This window comes from Homo sapiens, chromosome 19 (genome assembly GCF_000001405.40).
Source record: "Homo sapiens chromosome 19, GRCh38.p14 Primary Assembly".
NCBI lineage: Eukaryota > Metazoa > Chordata > Mammalia > Primates > Hominidae > Homo > Homo sapiens.
In genome coordinates, this window is record NC_000019.10 from 48880946 (window position 1) to 48900175 (window position 19230).

The 19230-nt window shown below is 51.3% G+C and overlaps 1 protein-coding gene across 1 annotated transcript, besides 6 other annotated features; it reads right to left on the minus strand.

Moving 5' to 3' along the window:
• Window positions 1–21: 21 nt before the first annotated feature.
• TULP2 (TUB like protein 2) lies at window positions 22–17799 on the minus strand. The gene is made up of 13 exons (NM_003323.3): window positions 17645–17799; window positions 16892–16924; window positions 16400–16451; window positions 15485–15611; window positions 14421–14558; window positions 14053–14217; window positions 8565–8686; window positions 7005–7316; window positions 4503–4615; window positions 2987–3101; window positions 2809–2907; window positions 1087–1258; window positions 22–181 (listed from the first exon to the last, which is right to left on the minus strand). Exons 2-13 carry the CDS (start codon window positions 16921–16923, stop codon window positions 66–68), a joined length of 1563 nt encoding a protein of 520 aa, NP_003314.2. The 5' UTR covers window position 16924; window positions 17645–17799; the 3' UTR covers window positions 22–65.
• Window positions 6613–7507: an enhancer, noted in NCBI's record as "H3K27ac-H3K4me1 hESC enhancer chr19:49390815-49391709 (GRCh37/hg19 assembly coordinates)". NCBI's record gives its function as "activates a minimal SCP1, AML or CMV promoter by ChIP-STARR-seq in primed H9 embryonic stem cells {active_cell/tissue: H9 hESC(primed)}" and the evidence as "EXISTENCE:reporter gene assay evidence [ECO:0000049][PMID:30033119]".
• Window positions 13931–14746: an enhancer, noted in NCBI's record as "H3K27ac-H3K4me1 hESC enhancer chr19:49398133-49398948 (GRCh37/hg19 assembly coordinates)". NCBI's record gives its function as "activates a minimal SCP1, AML or CMV promoter by ChIP-STARR-seq in primed H9 embryonic stem cells {active_cell/tissue: H9 hESC(primed)}" and the evidence as "EXISTENCE:reporter gene assay evidence [ECO:0000049][PMID:30033119]".
• Window positions 15173–15312: a silencer, noted in NCBI's record as "silent region_10906". NCBI's record gives its function as "represses an Ori minimal core promoter by ATAC-STARR-seq in GM12878 lymphoblastoid cells {active_cell/tissue: GM12878}" and the evidence as "EXISTENCE:reporter gene assay evidence [ECO:0000049][PMID:35858748]".
• Window positions 17194–18009: an enhancer, noted in NCBI's record as "H3K4me1 hESC enhancer chr19:49401396-49402211 (GRCh37/hg19 assembly coordinates)". NCBI's record gives its function as "activates a minimal SCP1, AML or CMV promoter by ChIP-STARR-seq in primed H9 embryonic stem cells {active_cell/tissue: H9 hESC(primed)}" and the evidence as "EXISTENCE:reporter gene assay evidence [ECO:0000049][PMID:30033119]".
• Window positions 17194–18543: a biological region, named in NCBI's record as "CRISPRi-FlowFISH-validated BAX and NUCB1 regulatory element". NCBI's record gives its function as "regulatory_interactions: BAX | NUCB1".
• Window positions 17544–18543: a transcriptional cis regulatory region, noted in NCBI's record as "promoter|chr19:49401746-49402745 region (GRCh37/hg19 assembly coordinates) targeted for CRISPR interference". NCBI's record gives its function as "positively regulates expression of NUCB1 and negatively regulates expression of BAX in K562 cells {active_cell/tissue: K562}" and the evidence as "EXISTENCE:mutant phenotype evidence [ECO:0000015][PMID:31784727]".

Genomic DNA, 19230 nt, shown 5'->3' on the forward strand with positions numbered 1-19230 from the left:
CAAATGAGGAGGCACAGAAGCTGGCAAGGGTATGGTATTTTATTGAGTTATTCAACAGCCAGCTTCTAATTGAAACTGGACAAGCAGATGCTGAAGGCCTGGAGCGGGCTAAATGGAAAGCAGAAGTCCATGGTGAATGTGTCTGGGCCCACTCGGCCGAACTGGAGCACCAGATGTTCTTCTGAGAAGTGAATCAGGAACAAAGCCTTAGCCTGACTCTCTCATCTCCCAGCTTCGAGAACTGAGACTTTTTTTTTTTTTTTTTCTTTTTTTTTTTTTTTTGAGACAGAGTCTTGCTCTGTCGCCCAGGCTGGAGTGCAGTGACCTGATCTTGGCTCACTGCAACCTCCACCTCCCAGGTTCAAGCAGTTCTTCTGCCTCAGCCTCCCAAGTAGCTAGGATTACAGGCATGTGCCACCACGTCCGGCTAATTTTTTTTTTTTTTTTTTTTTTTGAGATGGAGTCTCGCTCTGTTGCCCAGGCTGGAGAGCAGTGGCGCGATCTCGGCTCACTGCAAGCTCCGCCTCCCGGGTTCACACCATTCTCCTGCCTCAGCCTCCTGATTAGCTGGGACTACAGGTGACCACCACTACACCCAGCTAATTTTTTCTGTGTTTTTAGTAGAGACGGGGTTTCACCGTGTTAGTCAGGATGGTCTCAATCTCCTGACCTCGTATCCGCCCGCCTCGGCCTCCCAAAGTGCTGGGATTACAGGTGTGAGCCACAGTGCCCGGCCTAATTTTTGTATTTTTAGTAGAGACAGGGTTTCACCATGTTGGCCAGGCTGTTCTTGAACTCCTGACCTCAGATGATCCACCCACCTCGGTCTCCCAAAGTGCTAGGATTATAAGCGGGAGCTACCGCGCCAGGCCGAGAATGGAGACTTTTAAGAGGCTGAGCGGTGCCCTTACTAAGCCAGAAACCCTGAGGGTGTGTAAACTACAATTCCCAATAGGCTTTGCAATAGGGTGGCATCTGCCCTGCCTAGAAAAACGCTCAAGTGATGATGGGAGATGTAGTTCCCTTCCGTTCACACCCTAACCCCCACCCCACCTGGCCCGGCTAAACTGGTTTCCAGGAGCTCACGGTGTTTGGGATCCACGATTTGGAAGTTCTTCACCGAAGCCCGAGTGACTCGACCATGGAAATTGAGCGTGTAGACACCGTTCTCCTTGTCCCACGACGGGGTTTTGTTGTGCAACAAAAGCAACCCTTGTTTGTCCCCACGTTGGTAACGACTCAGTAGCGACTCCTGTTCCTAGAAGGTAAAGAAGGGGCTGTGGTTTTCTCAGAGGCTTTCGAAACTCCATCTTGAACAGGGGCGACTCCATCTTGAACAGGGGCGACTCCATCTTGAACAGGGGCTGGGTAAAATGAGGATGAGACCTGCTGGGCTGCGTTCCCAGGAGGTTAGGCATTCTTAGTCACAGGATGAGACAGGAGTTTGACAGGACTGGTATCACAATGTTAGAAATGCTTGTTCCCCGGTGCAGTAAAGAAATAGCACTTGAGCATAAATTTAATTTCCTCAGCAAGGCCATTTTTTAACTTTCTGCAGAAAGGGTACACTCACCAGGAGTTTTGCCATGAGAGTACACTGAACAAAGGAGACAGGGTCATTTATAACCTGGCGCATCCACCCTACTGCCGTGTAGGGTTTCCATTGGCTGGAACGGGACCTCACGTTCTGTATTTGTCCCAATTGGCTAGCAACTTAGAACTTTTTAAAAGAGGGAAAAGCAGAAGAATACAAAGTAAGGAGGAAGTAACTTGTGGAATGTTGAGAAAGGTAAAAACACCTTCAAATAAGGAAGAGGAACAGGCTATGACCTAATGCTTGCTTGGACCGGTACAAGCATGCCAGGGCAAATATTTAGGGTAAATTGTGGGAGCTAAAAACGTAAAGTACACTGATTTCTTTATTATGGCTAACAGATATTTAAGAATGTTAGCACAGGTCTTTGAATAAATTTTGCTTGTAAGAGAGGTTACTGCCGGGCACGGTGGCTCACGCCTGTAATCCCAGCACTTTGGGAGGCCGAGGCGGGTGAATCACGAGGTCAGGAGATCGAGACCATCCTGACTAACACAGTGAAACCCCGGCTCTACTAAAAATATAAAAAATTAGACGGGCATGGTAGCGGGCGCCTGTAGTCCCAGCTACTCAGGAGGCTGAGGCAGGAGAATGGCGTGAGCCGGGGAGGTCGAGCTTGCAGTGAGCCGAGATCGCGCCACTGCACTCCAGCCTGGGCGACAGAGCAAGACTCTGTCTCAAAAAAAAAAAAAAAGAAAGAAAGAGAGAGTCTAAAAGAAGCAGGAACCCTCAGTTCTGGGAATTGCCCACCCCTTTCCCAGAAAATTAATGAATAATCCACCTCGTTTAGCATATAATCAAGAAATAACCATAAAAATAGCCAACCAGCTGGCCTCAAGGCTGCTTTGCCTATGGAGTAGCCATTCTTTTATTTCTTCTCTAATAAACTTGCTTTCACTTGACTCTACGGACTGGCCCCAAATTCTTTCTTGCCTGAGATCCAAGAACCCTCTCTTGGAGTCTGGATCAGACCCCTTTTTGGTAAGTTTGTTAACCTACCATCAAACCTTTTTTCTCCAGATGCAAATGTTTTGAGTCTCTAGTCTTTTACTCCCTGAGACATGGAAGGCTAACAAAGTCCTTCAGGCTTCATGTGACACCTGCAACCCACTGGCCTCCTCTTCCTCCTCTTCTTCTTCCTCCTCTGGGATCTAGGAGGACCGGCCCCAGCCCCTTCTCCATTGACCCAGAGATTCCTGATGTCAGGGACTCACATTTAGTGGCTGGACATTGATTCGCTGGTTCTGGCTGTTGGTTCCTGGGAGAATCACAGTCATTTTCCGAGGCCCCAGGTATCCTAAGACGTTGGGCTCCTGGGGGTATTACATTCCAGTTGGCCTGGTTCCTTCTTCTGACTATCCTACCCCATTCTCTCATCCCCAGGACACTCACATAACACACAGCCCCCAGCTCCTGTCTGATCCGGGCAGTATTCCTGGTTAAATGCTCCCGGTCAGGATTCACCCCATTGTCAAAGATGGTGAACTTGGTGCTGAAGACATTGGATCTGCTCCAGGAAGGGAATGGATAGAATAAAAATACTAAGTGTTACTCTTTGAGTAAGTGTCACTCATCGCATCGACTCTTCCCATCAATCCCCTATGTCTAAGACTATGTCCGAATGTCTAAGAATCATGTTCCTGGCTGGGCACAGGGGCTCACACCTGTAATCCCAGCACTTCAGGAGGCAGAGGCAGGAGGATAGCTTGAGCCTGGGCAAAATGGCAAAACTCCTTCTCTACAAAAAATAGAAAAATTAGTTGGGCGTGGCAGTTTGTGTCTATGGTCCCAGCTCTCAAGAGGCTGAGGTGGGAGGATCACCTGAGCCCCAGAGGTCAAGCCTCCAATGAGCCGTGATCTTGCCACTGCACTCCAGCCTGGGTGACAGAATGAAACCCTGTCTCTAAATAAATATATAAATAAATAAAAATAAATAATTAAATAAATGAGGCCGGGTACGGTGGCTCACACCTGTAATCCCAGCACTTTGGGAGGCCAAGGCGGGTGGATCATCTGTGGTTGGGAGTTCAAGACCAGCCTGACAGACATGGAGAAACCCCGTCTCTACTAAAAATACAAAATTAGCCAGGCGTGGTGGTGCATGCCTGTAATCCCAGCTACTCAGGAGGCTGAGGCAGGAGAATTGCTTGAACCTGGGAGGCGGAGGTTGTAGTGAGCCGAGATTACGCCATCGCACTCCAGCCTGGGCAACAAAAGTGAAACTCTGTCTCAATAATAATAATAATAATTAAATAAATGAAACAACCATGTTTCCAGCATCCATGGTCCCAGGCCCCCTCATTTCTTGGGTGAGCCATGTACTTTATGTAGCCTCCCTATTTTATTTAAAGGGCCCTTTAGGAACCCTCTTTTTTTTTTTTTTTTTTTTTTTTTTCTGTTGCCCAAGCTGGAGTGCAGTGGCTCAATCTTAGCTTACCAAGACCTCTGCCTCCTGGGATCAAGTGATTCTCCTGCATCAGCCTCCCAAGTAGCTGGGATTACAGGTTCACGCCACTATGCCTGGCTAATTTTTGTATTTTTGGTAGAGACGGGGTTTCACCATGTTGGCCAGGCTGGTCTCAAGCTCCTGACCTCAAGTGATCCTCCCGCCTCTGCCTCCCAAAGTGCTGAGATTATAGGCGTGAGCCACCTCGCCACTCCCTCTACCTTTTTGGATGCAATAATTCACACATTCCAGGCCTCTTTTCCCACAGAAAGTTAGGAATCCCAGTCCCTTGCCTGTCAAGGAGTCAAATGCCTTAAATGCCAGCCTACGTTCCAAACCCTTCAGTTCTTCTGGTCCCTGAGCAGGTGGAAGGTATGCTCTGTGGCCTGCTGGGAAATGGAGTCCCCCTGTCCCTAAGCTCCCTGCTACCTGCTCCTCACCACATGTCAGAGCTCTACCCACCTGACTTTGCCCACGAAATTGTCCCCGTCCCGAGATAGGTGTGTAGGATCCAGGGAGATGAGGTAATTAGAAGTTTTGCTCCTTCTTCTCTTTCGCCCAGCCAGGAGGAAGCGCTATGGATGAGAGGAACAGTCCATTAGAATGGACTTCTGGATGCTGGGTGTGGTGGCTCATGCCTGTAATCCCTGCACTTTGGGAGGCTGCGGCGGGCAGATCACTTGAGGACAGGAGTTCGAGACCAGCCTGGCCAACATGGTGAAACCCCGTCTCTACTAAAAATAAAAAAAATTAGCCAGGCGTGGTAGTGCGTGCCTATAGTCCCAGCTAGTAGGGAGGCTAAGGCAGGAGAATTGCTTGAACCCAGGGGGCAGAGGTTGCAGTGAGCTGAGATCGCACCACTGCACTCCAGCCTGGGCAATAGACTGAGACTCCATCTCAAAACAAAAATAAAAAATAATGAAAGAAAAATGGACTTCTGGAAGCTGGTTAGAGCCAGGGGTCCAAAGACAAGGAAACGTCATGTCCCATGATAGAGGAGCCAGTGATGGCACAACAAGCTTCTCAAGACTTACTGGGAGGCCGGGCACAGTGGCTCATGCCTGTAATCCCAGCACTTTGGGAGGCCCAGGCGGGCAGATCACGAGGTAAGGAGATTGAGACCATCCTGGCTAACACGGTGAAACCCCGTCTCTACTAAAAATACAAAAAATTAGCCAGGCGTGGTGGCGGGCGCCTGTAGTCCCAGCTACTCAGAAGGCTGAGACAGGAGAATAGCGTGAACCTGGGAGGCGGAGCTTGCAGTGAGCCGAGATCGCGCCACTGCACTGGGCGACAGAGCAAGACTACGTCTCAAAAAAAAAAAAAAAAGACTTACTGGGAAATGTGGTTCTCACTGAGGGAAGCCATCAGCTGGGTCCTGAATGGAAGCTTCCTATCTTAATATCTCCTCCTCATTCCTTCTGCCTATGGGTCCAGAGTTGAAGCTTAGCCCAGGAAGGGTCTGGCTTTGGAGAATGGGGAGCACCCTCACTTGCAATATTGCAGCAGGACTTTGGTAGGCGTTTCACCAAGAAAAATGGGTTTGGTTGGCTCTGAGTAGGGCAAAAAACCTCTTTCTAGGGGGAGAGAGGATACCCCGAGGAGAGGAGACCATACTTGCAGGGTAAAGGCCAGAAAGACTAGATTGAGAGAAGTGGGGCTTGGATCTGGAAAGACAAACCAGGGGAGGGACCTGGTTGCTGGGGGCAGGATTTATCTCAGGATTGAGTGAGGCCTGATAGCTTATAGCAAGAAAGGCTCAGTGAGGGAGGGTCCAGACTATTTTTTTTTTTTTGACACAAGATCTCCACCTCCTGGACTCAAGCCATTTTCCCTCAGCCTCAGCCTCCCAAGTAGCTGGGACTACAGGTGGGCACCACCAGGCCTGGCTAATTTTTTTTTTTTTTTTGTAGAGACAGGGTTCCACCTTGCTGCCCAAGCTGATCTGGAACTTGTCAGCTCAAATGATCCACCTGCCTTGGCCTCCAAAATGCTGAGATTACAAGCGTGAACCACCGTGCCCGGCCTTTTTTTTTTTTTTTTGAGATGGAGTTTCGCTCTTTCACCCAGGCTGGAGTGCAGTGGTGTGAGATCTCAGCTCATTGCAACCTCCGCCTTCGAGTTTCAAGCATTCTCCTGCCTCAGCCTCCTGAGTAGCTGGGATTACAGGCGCCCACAACCACGCCTGGCTAACTTTTGTATTTTTTAGTAGAGACGATGTTTCGCCTTGTTGGCCAGGCTGGTCTCGAACTCCTGACCTTGTGATCTGCACGCCTCGGCCTCCCAAAGTGCTAGGATTACAAGTGTGAGCCACCGCGCCCAGCCCTTTTTTTTTTTTTTTTTTTTTTTTTTTTTTTTATGCAGAGTCTAACTCTGTCGCCCAGGCTGGAGTGCAGTAGCGTGATCACATCTCACTGCAGCCTTGAACTCCCAGGCTCAAGCAATCCTCTCACCTCAGCCTCCCGAGTAGCTTGGACTACAGGCACATACCACCATGCCCAACCAATTTTGTATTTTTTGTAAAGACGGGGTTTTGCCATGTTGTTCAGGCTGGTCTTTTTTGTGTTTGTTGGTTGGTTTTTTGTTTTTTGAGATGGAGTCTTCCTCTGTCGCCTAGGCTGGAGTGCAGTGATGCAATCTCGGCTCACTGCAACCTCCGCTTCCCAGGTTCAAGCGATTCTCCTGTCTCAGCCTCCTGAGTAGCTGGGACTACAGGCGCCTGCCACCACTCCCGGCTAATTTTTGTATTTTTAGTGGAGACGGGGTTTCACCATATTGGTCAGGCTGGTCTTGAACTCCGGACCTCAGGTGATCCACCCGCTTCAGCCTCCCAAAGTGCTGGGATTATAGGCGTGAGCCACTGTGCCCAGCCCCAGGCTGGTCTTGACCTAGCTCAGAAAGGAGTGGGATTTTGCCTGGGAGGTGGGGGCTTACTCCCAAAGCTGTTGGGCTGGCTTACTGCACCTGCAGGCTGTCAGAGGTCTCCAGGTAGAGGTAGTAGAGGGGGAACAAGCCCTTGTCCACGCCGTGCTTGTCACGGGTGAGGTAGCACTGCATCATGGTGCCCGGGAGCGCTGGCCGCAGCACGTAGGCTTCCATGTCCTCCTCCAGCCCAGGGCAGGGGGAGCGGATTGCCAAGGAGGCTTCGTGCCTCATATGGTCGCTGTCCGTGCCACCCTCGCCTTTCAGGGCCTTGGACAACTCTTCGTTGTGTGCTGCTGAGGAGTTCGTCCCTGTAGACTCAGAGGCCTCTCTCTTCTTTTCCAAGTCTTCTTCCTAGCCCAGGCACCAAATTTAAAGTCGAGGGACAACCACCGGCCCAGCCTTGCTTACTACTGATTGACCATCCCAGCCCTAGGGTCCCGCCCTTGCCCATCCACATTTTCTGCTTATTGGTCAAAAATCTCATTCAGTCCACCCAGTCACGCCCTCCTCTGTTGACTGGCCAGTCTATTCGCTTTCCTCTGCAGCCACACGCATTCCACCTGCTGATTGGAAAATTCCTTTCTGAAAGCAAGGCCCATTCCGTTAAAATGGCTGTTAGTTTGATCTAGATAACATAATACAGCCCAGATCTACCCTCAAGAGAAACCATCTACTGCACTTTCACCAACACCAAAGTGAGTGCCAGTTGGCCCTTTTCTTTTATTTTTTAAGACAGAGTTTCGCTCTGTCGCCCAGGCTGGAGTGCAGTGACTCGATCTCGGTTCACTGCAACCTCTGCCTCCCAGGTTCAAGCAATTCTCCTGCCTCAGCCTCCCAAGTAGCTAGGATTACAGGCTTTCGCCACCACGCCCAGCTAATTTTTGTATTTTTAGTAGAGACGGGGCTTCACCAAGTTGGCCAAGCTGGTCTGGAACTCCTGACCTCAGGTGATCTGCCTGCCTCGGCCTTCCAAAGTGCTGGGATTACAGGCGTGAGTCACCGTTCCTGGCCTGCAACTGGCCCTTTTCGATCAGTGTTCTGCCCTTTCTGAAGCTCGCTGTCTTTCCATGGCTGCACCTATTTTTTTTTTTTTTTGGACAGTCTCACTCTGTCTCCCGGGCTGGAGTGCAATCTCAGCTCACTGCAACCTCCGCCTCCCAGGTTCAAGTGATTCTCCTGCCTCAGCCTCCTGAGTAGTTGGGATTACTGGCGTGCGCCACCACACCTGGCTAATTTTTGTATTTTACTAGAGACAGGGTTTCACCACGTTGGCCAGGCTGGTCACGAACTCCTGACCTCAAGTGATCTGCCCACCTCAGCCTCCCAAAGTGCTGGGATTACAGGCGTGAGCCACCATACCATAAGCTGTATTTTAATGGCCATGTCCATGTCAAGTCAAATCCTCTGATTTGATGAATGGTACACACACACACATGCACGCACGCACGCACGCACGCACACACACAAGTCTCTGCCAGCTTAATCACCACCAGGAAAAAGAGCTTCTGATTGGGTGGCAGAATTTTAGCCCCACCCTCACCAGAGGTCCGAGGCTAGCCCTCTTCTTCCAATATCCTGAGTGATTGTGCATTTTCCTACCTTTTGGAAGGCCAAGTTTTCATATACACAGTCACCATCCATTCCAGGGTTTGGTCCCATATTGGGTGACTTGTGTGCATCTCCCATATCCTGGGAGTCACTCTCACCCTCTGCACGGGTCCCTAATGTGGGGAAAAGCAAGAGAGATCAGATTGTTACTGTGTCTGTGTAGAAAGAAGTAGACATAGGAGACTCCATTTTGTTCTGTACTAAGACAAATTCTTCTGCCTTGGGATGCTGTTAATCTATAACCTTACCCCCAACCCCGTGCTCTCTGAAACATGTGCTGTGTCCACTCAGGGTTAAATGGATTAAGGGCGGTGCAAGATGTGCTTTGTTAAACAGATGCTTGAAGGCAGCATGCTCCTAAAGAGTCATCACCACTCCCTAATCTCAAGTACCCAGGGACACAAACACCGCGGAAGGGCGCAGGGACCTCTGCCTAGGAAAGCCAGGTATTGTCCAAGATTTCTCCCCATGTGATAGTCTGAAATATGGCCTCGTGGGAAGGGAAAGACCTGACCGTCCCCCAGCCCGACACCCGTAAAGGGTCTGTGCTGAGGAGGATTAGTATAAGAGGAAGGCATGCCTCTTGCAGTTGAGACAAGAGGAAGGCATCTGTCTCCTGCCCGTCCCTGGGCAATGGAATGTCTCGGTATAAAACCCGATTGTACGTTCCATCTACTGAGATAGGGAAAAACCGCCTTCGGGCTGGAGGTGGGACATGCGGGCAGCAATACTGCTTTGTAAAGCATTGAGATGTTTATGTGTATGCATATCTAAAAGCACAGCACTTGATTCTTTACCTTGTCTATGATGCAAAGACCTTTGTTCACGTGTTTGTCTGCTGACCCTCTCCCCACTATTGTCTTGTGACCCTGACACATCCCCCTCTCGGAGAAACACCCACAAATGATCAATAAATACTAAGGGAACTCAGAGGCTGGCGGGATCCTCCATATGCTGAACGCTGGTTCCCTGGGTCCCCTTATTTCTTTCTCTATACTTTGTCTCTGTGTCTTTTTCTTTTCCAAGTCTCTCGTTCCACCTAACGAACCCACAGGTGTGGAGGGGCAACCCACCCCTTCACCTAAAGGATGAAAGAAGCCTGGACTAAGCTCAGGACAGCTGGATCCCAGGAGTGTGGGACACCATCATCAGTGCTAGCCAGAGATGGCCAGAACTCCTGGGTTCTCAGTCCCTACTCATGACTCAGCGCCCTCACTTGCAACAACCTCCTCCTCCTCCAGGTGCACGGAAGTCTACAAGGGCCAGAGTTTCTGATTACCCTGGATCTAAGGACAGGGAGGGGTTAGGGTCTTTCCTTTTCCTTATCTCAGACAAAGCATCACAGAGACTGAAGATGGGGGGATGGAGTTTGGGGTGATAATAATTCTGTCATTGAAATCATTGGCCATCTCATGAAAATAAAAGGAAACGTCACCACAATGGAATATTATAAGGGAATAAAAAGGAATGAAGTACTGATAATACTACCACACGGATGAACCTTAAAATTTTATGGCCGGGCACGGTGGCTCACGCCTGTAATCCCAGCACTTTGGGAGGCCGAGGCGGGCGGATCACGAGGTCAGGAGATCGAGACCATCCTGGCAAACATGGTGAAACCCCGTCTCTACTAAAAATACAAAAAAAAAAAAAAAATTAGCCGGGTGTGGTGGCCGGCGCCTGTAGTCCCAGCTACTTGGGAGGCTGAGGCAGGAGAATGGTGTGAACCCGGGAGGCGGAGCTTGCAGTGAGCCGAGATTGTGCCACTGCACTCCAGCCTGGGCAACAGGGCGAGACTCCGTCTCAAAAAAAAAAAAAAAATTTGTTAGGTGGGCCAGGGGCGGTGGCTCATGCCTGTAATCCCAGCACTTTGGGAGGCGGAGGTGGGCGGATCACGAGGTCAGTAGTTCAAAATCAGCCTGGCCAACATAGTGAAACCGGTCTCTACTAAAAATACAAAAATTAGCAGGGCGTGGCAGCGTGCACCTGCAGTTCCAGCTACTCAGGAGGCTGAGGCAGGAGAATCGCTTAAACCCAGCCAGGCAGAGGTTGCAGTGAGCCGAGATCGTGCCACTGCGCTCCAGCCTGAAGGGGGCCTGCCCCTCCACACCCGTGGGTATTTCTCGCAAGGTGGAGACGAGCGGCTGAGAGAAGAAAGAAGACACAGAGACAAAGTATAGAGGAAGAAAAGTGGGCCCAGGGGACCAGTGCTCCGCAAGTGAGGACCCGCACCAGCGCTGATCTCTGAGTTCCCTCAGTATTTATTGATCACTATCTTTACTATCTTGGTGAGGGGAATTTGGTGTGACTATAGGGTGATGGTGGGGAGAGGGTCAGCAGGAAAACATGTGAACAAAAGACTCTGTGTCATAAATAAGTTTAAGGAAAGGTGCTGTGCCTGGATGTGCACATAGGCTGGATTTATGTTTAACTTTACATAAACATCCCAGTGCAGTAAAGAGCAGTATTGCCGCCATGATGTCTCGCCTCCAGCCATAAGGTGGTTTTCTCCTATCTCAGAATAGAATGTATGGTCGGTTTTACACTGAGTCATTCCATTTCCAGAGACGTGCAGGAGACAGATGCCTCCTTCTTATCTTAACCGCATGGAGGCCTTTCTCTCTCACTAATCCTCCTCAGCACAGACCCTTTACGGGTGTCGGGCTGGGGGACCGTCAGGTCTTTCCCTTCCCACGAGGCCATATCTCAGGCTGTCTCAGTCGGGGAAATCCTGGACAATGCCCAGGCTTCCTTGGGCAGGGGTCCCTGCAGCCTTCCACAGTGTGTTATGTTTCTGGTTAATAGAGAATGGAGAATGGCAATGACTTTCACAAAGCATACTGCCTGCAAAACCATTTTTACCAAAGCACATCCTGCCCAGCCCTAAATCCCTTAAAACTTGAGTCAATATAACACATGTTTCTGTGAGCACAGGGTTGGGACAAGAGTTGCAGATTAACAGCATCTCAAAGCAGAACAGTTTTTCTTTTTTTTTTTGGGGGGGGGACGGAGTCTTGCTCTGTCACCCAGGCTGGAGTGCAGTGGCGCGATCTCAGCTCACTGCAAGCTCTGCCTCCCGGGTTCACGCCGTTTTACTGCCTCAGCCTCCCGAATAGCTGGGACTACAGGCGCCCACCACCGCAACCGGCTAATTTTTTGTATTTTCAGTAAACGTGGGGTTTCACTGTGGTCTCGATCTCCTGACCTCGTGATCCGCCCGCCTCGGCCTCCCAAAGTGCTGGGATTACAGGCGTGAGCCACCGCGCCCAGCCAGCAGAACAGTTTTTCTTAGTACAGATCAAAATGGAGTTTCTTATGTCTTCCTTTTTCTACATAGACAAAGTAACGATCTGATCTCTCTTTCTTTTCCCCACACAGCCTAGGTGACAGAGTGAGACTCCGTCTCAAAAAAAAAAAAAATCATTAGGTGAATGAGGTGAATGAAGACACACGGTGGCTCACACCCGTAATCCCAGCACTTTGGGAAGCCAAGGTGAGAGGATCACTTGAGCCCAGGAGTTCAAGACCAGCCTAGGCAACATAGTGACACACCATCTCAAAGCAAAAGAGGCCAGGTGCATTAGCTCACGCCTGTAATCCCAGCACTTTGGGAGGCCGAGGCAGGCAGATCACAAGTTCAGGAGTTTGAGACCAGCTGTGCCAACATGGTGAAACCCTGTCTCTACTAAAAAACACAAAAAATTAGCCGAGCATGGTGGCACGCGCCTGTAACCCCAGCTACTCGGGAGGCTGAGGCAGGAGAATCGCTTGAACCCAGAAGGCAGAGGTTGCAGTGAGCTGAGATCGCGCCATTGCATTCCAGCCTGGGAGACAGAGCAAGACTCTGCCTCAAGAAAAAAAAAAAAAAAGGAATTGAAGAAAGAAGCCACATACAAAAGACCACATATGTATACGATTCCATTTGTGTGAAATGTACAGAATAGCCAAATCTAAGAAGACAGTGGAGGTTGGTGGTTGCCAAGGGCTGGGGTAAATGGAAAAGGGGTGACTGCTAATTGATGCACTATTTCTTTCTTTCTTTTTTTTTTCCTTGAGACAAAGTCTCGCTCTTTCACCCTGGCTGGAATGCAGTAGCCTGATCTCAGTTTACTGCAACCTCTGTCTCCTGGGTTCAAGCAATTCTTCCACCTCAGCCTCCCCAGCAGCTAGGATTACAGGTGCATGCCACCACGCCCAGCTAATTTTTGTATTTTTAGTAGAGACTGGGTTTCACCATGTTGGCCAGACTGGTCTTGAACTCCTGACCTCAGGTGATCCACCCACCTTTGCCTCCCAAAGTGCTGGGATTACAGGCGTGAGCCACCGCGCCCAGCCATGATGCAGGATCTCTATCTGGGGTGATACAAATGTTCTAAAATTGATTGTGGTGACGGTTGCAGAATTATATAAATATAGTTAGCTTCTCGTATCCTACAGGCTCCACATCCCCACTGCTGACCCAAAATATTCAGGAAAGAAATTGAAAAACAACAAGATGACAATAAATAACAGAACCAATTTTTTTTTTCTTTGAGACAGAGTATTGCTCTGTCACCCAGGCTGGAGTACAGTGGCATGATCTCGGCTCACTGCAACCTCGGCCTCCTGGGTTCAAGTGACTCTCTTGCCTTGGCCTCCGGAGTATCTGGGATTACAAGCCTGCACCCCCTTGCCTGGCTAATTTTTGTATTTTTAGTAGAGACATGGTTTCGTCACGTTGGCCAGGCTCGTCTCAAATTCCTGGACTGAAGTGACCAACCAGCCTCAGCCTCCCAAAGTGCTGGAATTACAGGCACTTTATTTTTAAAAATTTTTTTAAATAACATATAACAGCTATTTACGGGCCAGGCATGATGGTTTATGCCTGTAATCCCAGCACTTTGGGAGGCTGAGGTGGGTGGATCATGAGGTCAGGAGTTTAAGACCAGTCCGGCCAGCATGGTGAAACCCCATCTTTACTAAAAATACAAAAATTAGCTGGGCGTGGTGATGCGCACCTGTAGTCCCAGCTACTTGGGAGGCTGAGGCAGGAGAATAGCTTGAACCTAGGAGGCGGAGGTTGCAGTGAGCCAAGATCACGCCACTGCACTCCAGCCTAGGCGACAGAGTGAGACTCCCTCCCAACAACAACAGCAACAAATATTTACATTGCATTTATACTGTATTAGGTATTATAAGTTATCTAGAGATGACTTACAGTATATGGGGGGATGTTCATAGTTTATATGCAAATTTTACACCATTTTATATAAGGGACTTTGGCGTCTGCGGATCTTGGTATCTGTGGGGTTCCTGGAACACATCACCTGCAGATACCGAGGGGCGACCGTGTACTGGAAACCATGGAATTGTGAACTTTAAATGGGTGACTTGTATGGTTTGTGAATTATACTTCAGTGAAGCTGCTGCCTAAGAAAGGGGAAGATTTGCTGCATGAACCAGGAGATCCCAGGTTTCACCCCAATGTCCCCTAAATTACCAGGTCGTTGGTGGGCTTGCCAACCCTTGCGTCGGATTCTCGGAGACTGTTTAAAAGGTGGGGGAGAGACGGAACCATTCTCCACGGAGACTTCCTCCAATTCTGCATCGGAATTGTCTGGGAGCCAGGATAAGAAAGGGGACTGGAGACCGAGATTCCTGAACACTGAGGAAGGAAGGAGGGGAGAGTTGGATTTCTGGATGCTGCAGGAGGAGGCGGCTCAGGACCTGAACTCCTTGGTGTGAGGAAGGAGTGGGTGCGGTCCTGAGCTCCTGAGTATTTTGGACAGATGGATTGAGGCACCAGACTCCTGGGTTTTAGTGGGGACGGAGTTCTGGGGTCTAGGAGGTCGGTGGACTCGCAAATACCTGCTTCTGTCCGCGGTGTCGGGAGGCCGCGCTCGCCCCTGCCGTCTCCACCACAGCTCACGGTGCCCAGGGCACTGTGGATGCCAGAGGGCAGATGTGCCTCTGACACTTTCTTCCGGAGGAAAGGGTTCCCAAGGCCTGGGAGAAGGTTCAGCGAGCCCATGAAAACGATCTACAAATTCCGGTCCTCAACCAAAATCCACCCCGTCACTGGGCTCCCAAATATCACCCCCGCCAGGCGCCGTGGCTCACGCCTGTAATCCCAGCACTTTGGGAGGCCGAGGCAGGCGGATCACCTGAGGTCGGGAGTTCGAGACCAGCCTGACCAACATGGAGAAACACCGTCTCTACTAAAAACACAAAATTAGCCGGGCTTGGTGGCGCATGCCTGTAATCACAGCTACTCGGGAGGCTGAGGCAGGAGAATCGCTTGAACCCGGGAGACGGAGGTTGCGGTGAGCCGATATCCTGCCATTGTACTCCAGCTTTGGCAACAAGAGCTAAACTCCGTCTCAAAAAAGAAAAAAAAATCACCCTGTTTCGCGGACCGCCCAAACCTTGAGACCCAGGTCCCAAACTGCATCCTAAGCCTCAAACAAGCACAGCCCTGCCGCTGGATTGTTGCGGGCTCCGCACGTAAAGAATCTCGCGCCAGGCTCTCGTAATGAGACCGCGCCCCGCCCCGGACCCCTAGACCCCGTCTCCGCAATCCCGGGTTTGGGGTGGGGGTCCCGGCTTTCCCAGGCTCCACCACCGAGCTCTGCCAAGCCCAATCATCACATTCTCTTGCCCCTTTCCCCTGCTAGTTGTACCATGCCCCGCCCCTGCGCTCTGTAGCCCTGCCCCGAACCCCTCCCTCACAGGTCCTGCCGCGGGGGGCCCCCACAAGCCTCTCCCCTGGGCGCCCACAGGCCCTGTTCTAAAGCTCTCCTGGGCCAAGGCCCGCCCCCATCCACTGCCAAGTCCCCACCCTAAGGCTCCACCCCTTCATCCACTAGGCCCCGCCCACAGACTCCCACAGGCCCCTCCCCTCCAGGCGAACGCCCCCAGGGGTCTTTGGTCACCTCTGTCACCTAAAAGGCGCTCCTCCCGCAGACAAGAGCGCCAAAGCCACGGGGAAGCGTCAGGATTGGCCTGAACCATGAGGAGCTCCTGGCGCTTCTGTCGCTGCTTCTTTTCAAACAGCCGCCGCTGGGGAGATGGGAGAGGTGGGTGTCCGGGACAGGAACCAGATGGGAAGACAGAAGTGAGGTGGGGCCTGGGGCAAGGGCTCGCATCGGCGCGAGAGTTCGTGAACCCCTTCCTCCACTGGGGCCCACACGTCCAGGCCCTCAGTTCTTCAGCAGCTCCTCCCTTATTCCACCGTTGGACTCAGATCCAAGAGTCCTGACACCCTGTCCTCTCATCCCCCAGGACCCAGGAGTCCTGCCTTCTAGAAGCCTTGTTCCTTAGAAATTCATCACAAGGGTTTGTTTGCTTCTTTAGAACCCCCAATTCCTATTTTCTTTTCTTTTTCCTTTCTTACTTTTTTTTTTTCTTTTTGAGACAGAGTCTGGCTCTATCGCCCAGGCTGGAGTGCAGTACCACGATCTCCGCTCACTGCAGCCTCCGCCTCCCGGATTCAAACGATTCTCCTGCCTCAGCCTCCCGAGTAGCTGGGATTACAGGCGCCTGCCACCACACCTGGCTAATTTTTTGTGTGTTAGTAGAGACGGGGTTTCGCCGTGTTGGCCAGGCTTGTCTTGAACTCCTGACCTCAAGTGATCCGCCCACCTCAGCATCCCAAAGTGCTGTGATTACAGCCGTGAGCTGCCCTGCCCGGCCCCAAATTCCTATTTTCTCATTTCTCAGTGGGAAAACTCAAGGATGAGAGACAGCCAACACGGGCTGGGAGTCCTAGAGCAAGACCTGGTGGAGAGGCCCCTGGGGAGGCACAGAAGGCGGAAGAGTTGGAGTGGTGAGATTCCTGGGCACAATACCTGCTGTTCCAGCTTCTGCAGCCTCATAGCAGCGAGCTCATGCCCCAGGATGCTGAGAGAGACACAGGCCCATGGTGACAGTGCACAGGGAACCTCGGTTGCCCAAGAGAGTCCCTCCTTCCCCCATCCTGCCCCTATCTCAGCTTGGGTTCTGGGCACCTGTGAGGTCACAGGAGGTGCAGAACCTGAGCCTGCTCCACCAGTTATAGGGCCCTTTCTCCTGGCACTGGCCCACAGAAGCCGGGACCCAGAGATCCCAGGTCCCTCCTGTCTCAGGATTCAGGAGTCTGGGGCCCCCAACCCCTTCTCTTTCAGACCCAGAAGTCTGCACCCTAGCCCCATCCCTTCAGGACACAGGAGTCCAGGTCCCCAGCCCCTTCCTGCAAGGCCGATGGTGCTGAACCTGCAAACATGGTTATGAAGCCAGAGCCGAGTGCACGGGGTCCCCAGCCCTTTCCACCTCCACCCCTACCCATCTGTTTCCCTACTCACTCTCTCATCAATGTGTCATTATCCTGAGACATTCTGCAGAAGCAAGAATGAGGAGTCAGGATCAGAACCAACATCCCAATGGATCCTGCCCACCAGCACCTAATCTTTAGCCTTATTTATTTATTTATTTATTTATTTATTTATGTATTTAGAGACAGCTGAGCCTCGCTCTGTCGCCCAGGCTGCAGTGCAGTGGCGCCATCTCGGCCACTGCAACCTCCACCTCCTGGGTTCAAGCGATTCTCCTGCCTCAGCCTCCCGAGTAGCTGGGACTACAGGCGTCCGCTATTCTGCCTAATTTTTTTGTATTTTAGTAGATACCGGTTTTCACTATGTTGGCCAGGCTGGTGCCGGACTCCTGACCTCAGGTGATCTGCCCGCCTTGGCCTTCCAAAGTGCTAGGATTACAGGCATGAGCCACAGTGCCCGGCCTGATCCTTACCTTTAAATTTGCTTCCGGACCCAGGCAGCCCGAATCCCAGCACCCACTCCTGTCGGGATCTAGTAGCCTGTTTCCAGCTTCCCACGGGGGTCCGCAAGTCCGCTTCTCTCTCCCCCAAATATCTAATTCTCCAGCACCCAGGCATCAGAACTCAGGACTGTGCACTTCAAACACCCAGCCCCCAGCGGCCTAGAACTCCACTGCCCACCTGCCTGGGATCCGGGAGACTTGTTCTCCTCACCAGGTGCCTGGAGAGGCTGCTCACATTGATGCCTCGGTACCTTGCCTCTCTGGCCAATCTCTAAACATACCTGATCCTCTCTTTGGAAGCTGGGGACCTAATCTCGGGATATCTGCGAAATAGGGAGGAGAAGAAAGACGGCTCAGAGGGAGGGAGGATTCCCTCTGGGACCTGAACTGGTCCACTCCCTTCTGACCCTCCACTCTCCACTTCCAACAAAGTAACGAACTCGGTCACTGATGCAGCCAGGCAACCCTGCTCCGGGGGTTCTGAACACGAATGCCGTGTGGGGGTTCCTTAAAGAGACCAGAGACCGGCCCGGCGCGGTGGCTCACGCCTGTAATCCCAGCACTTTGGGAGGCCGAGGCGGGCGGATCACGGGGTCAGGAGATCTAGACCATCCTGGCTAACATGGTGAATCCCCGTCTCTACTAAAAAAAAATATATATATATACACAAAAAAATTAGCCGGGCGTTGTGGCGGGCGGGCGCCTGTAGTCCCAGCTACTCGGGAGGCTGAGGCAGGAGAATGGCGTGAACCCGGGAGGCGGAGCTCGCAGTGAGCTGAGATCGCGCCACTGCACTCCAGCCTGTGTGACAGAGGTAGACACCGTCTCAAAAAAAAAAAAAAAAAGAGAGAGAGAGAGCGGGAGACCAGAGACCTCGCGGCCTCACTGTACACATCTCGCTTACAAGAAACTTAAAAGAGGCGGGGCGCAGTGGCTCACGCCTGTAATCCCAGCACTTTGGGAGGCGGAGACGGGGAGGCAAGATTGCTTGAGTCCAGGAGATCCAGATCCAGACCAGCAACACAGAGATTTTTTTTTTTTTTTGAGACGTAGTCTCACTCTGTCGCCCAGGCTGGAGTGCAGTGGCGCGATCTCGGCTCACTGCAACCTCCGCCTCCCGGGTTTAAGAGATTGTCCTGCCTCAGCTTCCTGAGTAGCTGGGATTACAGGCATGCGCAACCACGCCTGGCTAATTTGTATTTTTAGTGGAGGCGAGGTTTCTCCATGTTGGCCAGGCTGGTCTCAAACCCTTGACCTCAGGTGATCTGCCTGCCTCAGCCTCCCAAAGTGCTGGGATTACAGGAGTGAACCCCCAAGCCCGGCTTGACATCCGTCTCTTTAAAAAACAACAACAACAAAGTGTGAGAAGTGTGAAAGACAGAACGTTAAAAAAAAAAAAAGGCTAAAAAAGAATTAAAGATTTAAATATTTGTATTAAAAATTTAAAAAATATACATTAGCCAGGCATGGTAGTGTGGCCTGTGGTCCCATCTACTTGGGAGGCTGACGCGGGAGGATTGCTTGGGCCTGGGAGGTAGAGGCTGCAGTGAGAAGTGATTGCGCCACTGCACTCCAACCTGGGTGACAGAGCAAACCCTGTCTCGAATAATAAGAAGAAGAAGAAAGAAACTCATAAGAAAGGCTATGCAATTGCTACCGCGCTATAACTTCCAGGCACTTCGTGGGGCGAAAATAAATGGGAAAACTACAGCTCCCATGAGGCGAAGGGGCCACGATGCCCGCGGAAGTTATTTTTCCCCCGGCCGGCAGGGAGTTGTAGTTATCTTTGAAAGCCTTCTCTCTCTTTTGGCATAGGCGGGAAATGTGGCGTCAAGAGGCTGGGATTCCGAGAAAGAAGCGAGGCTTT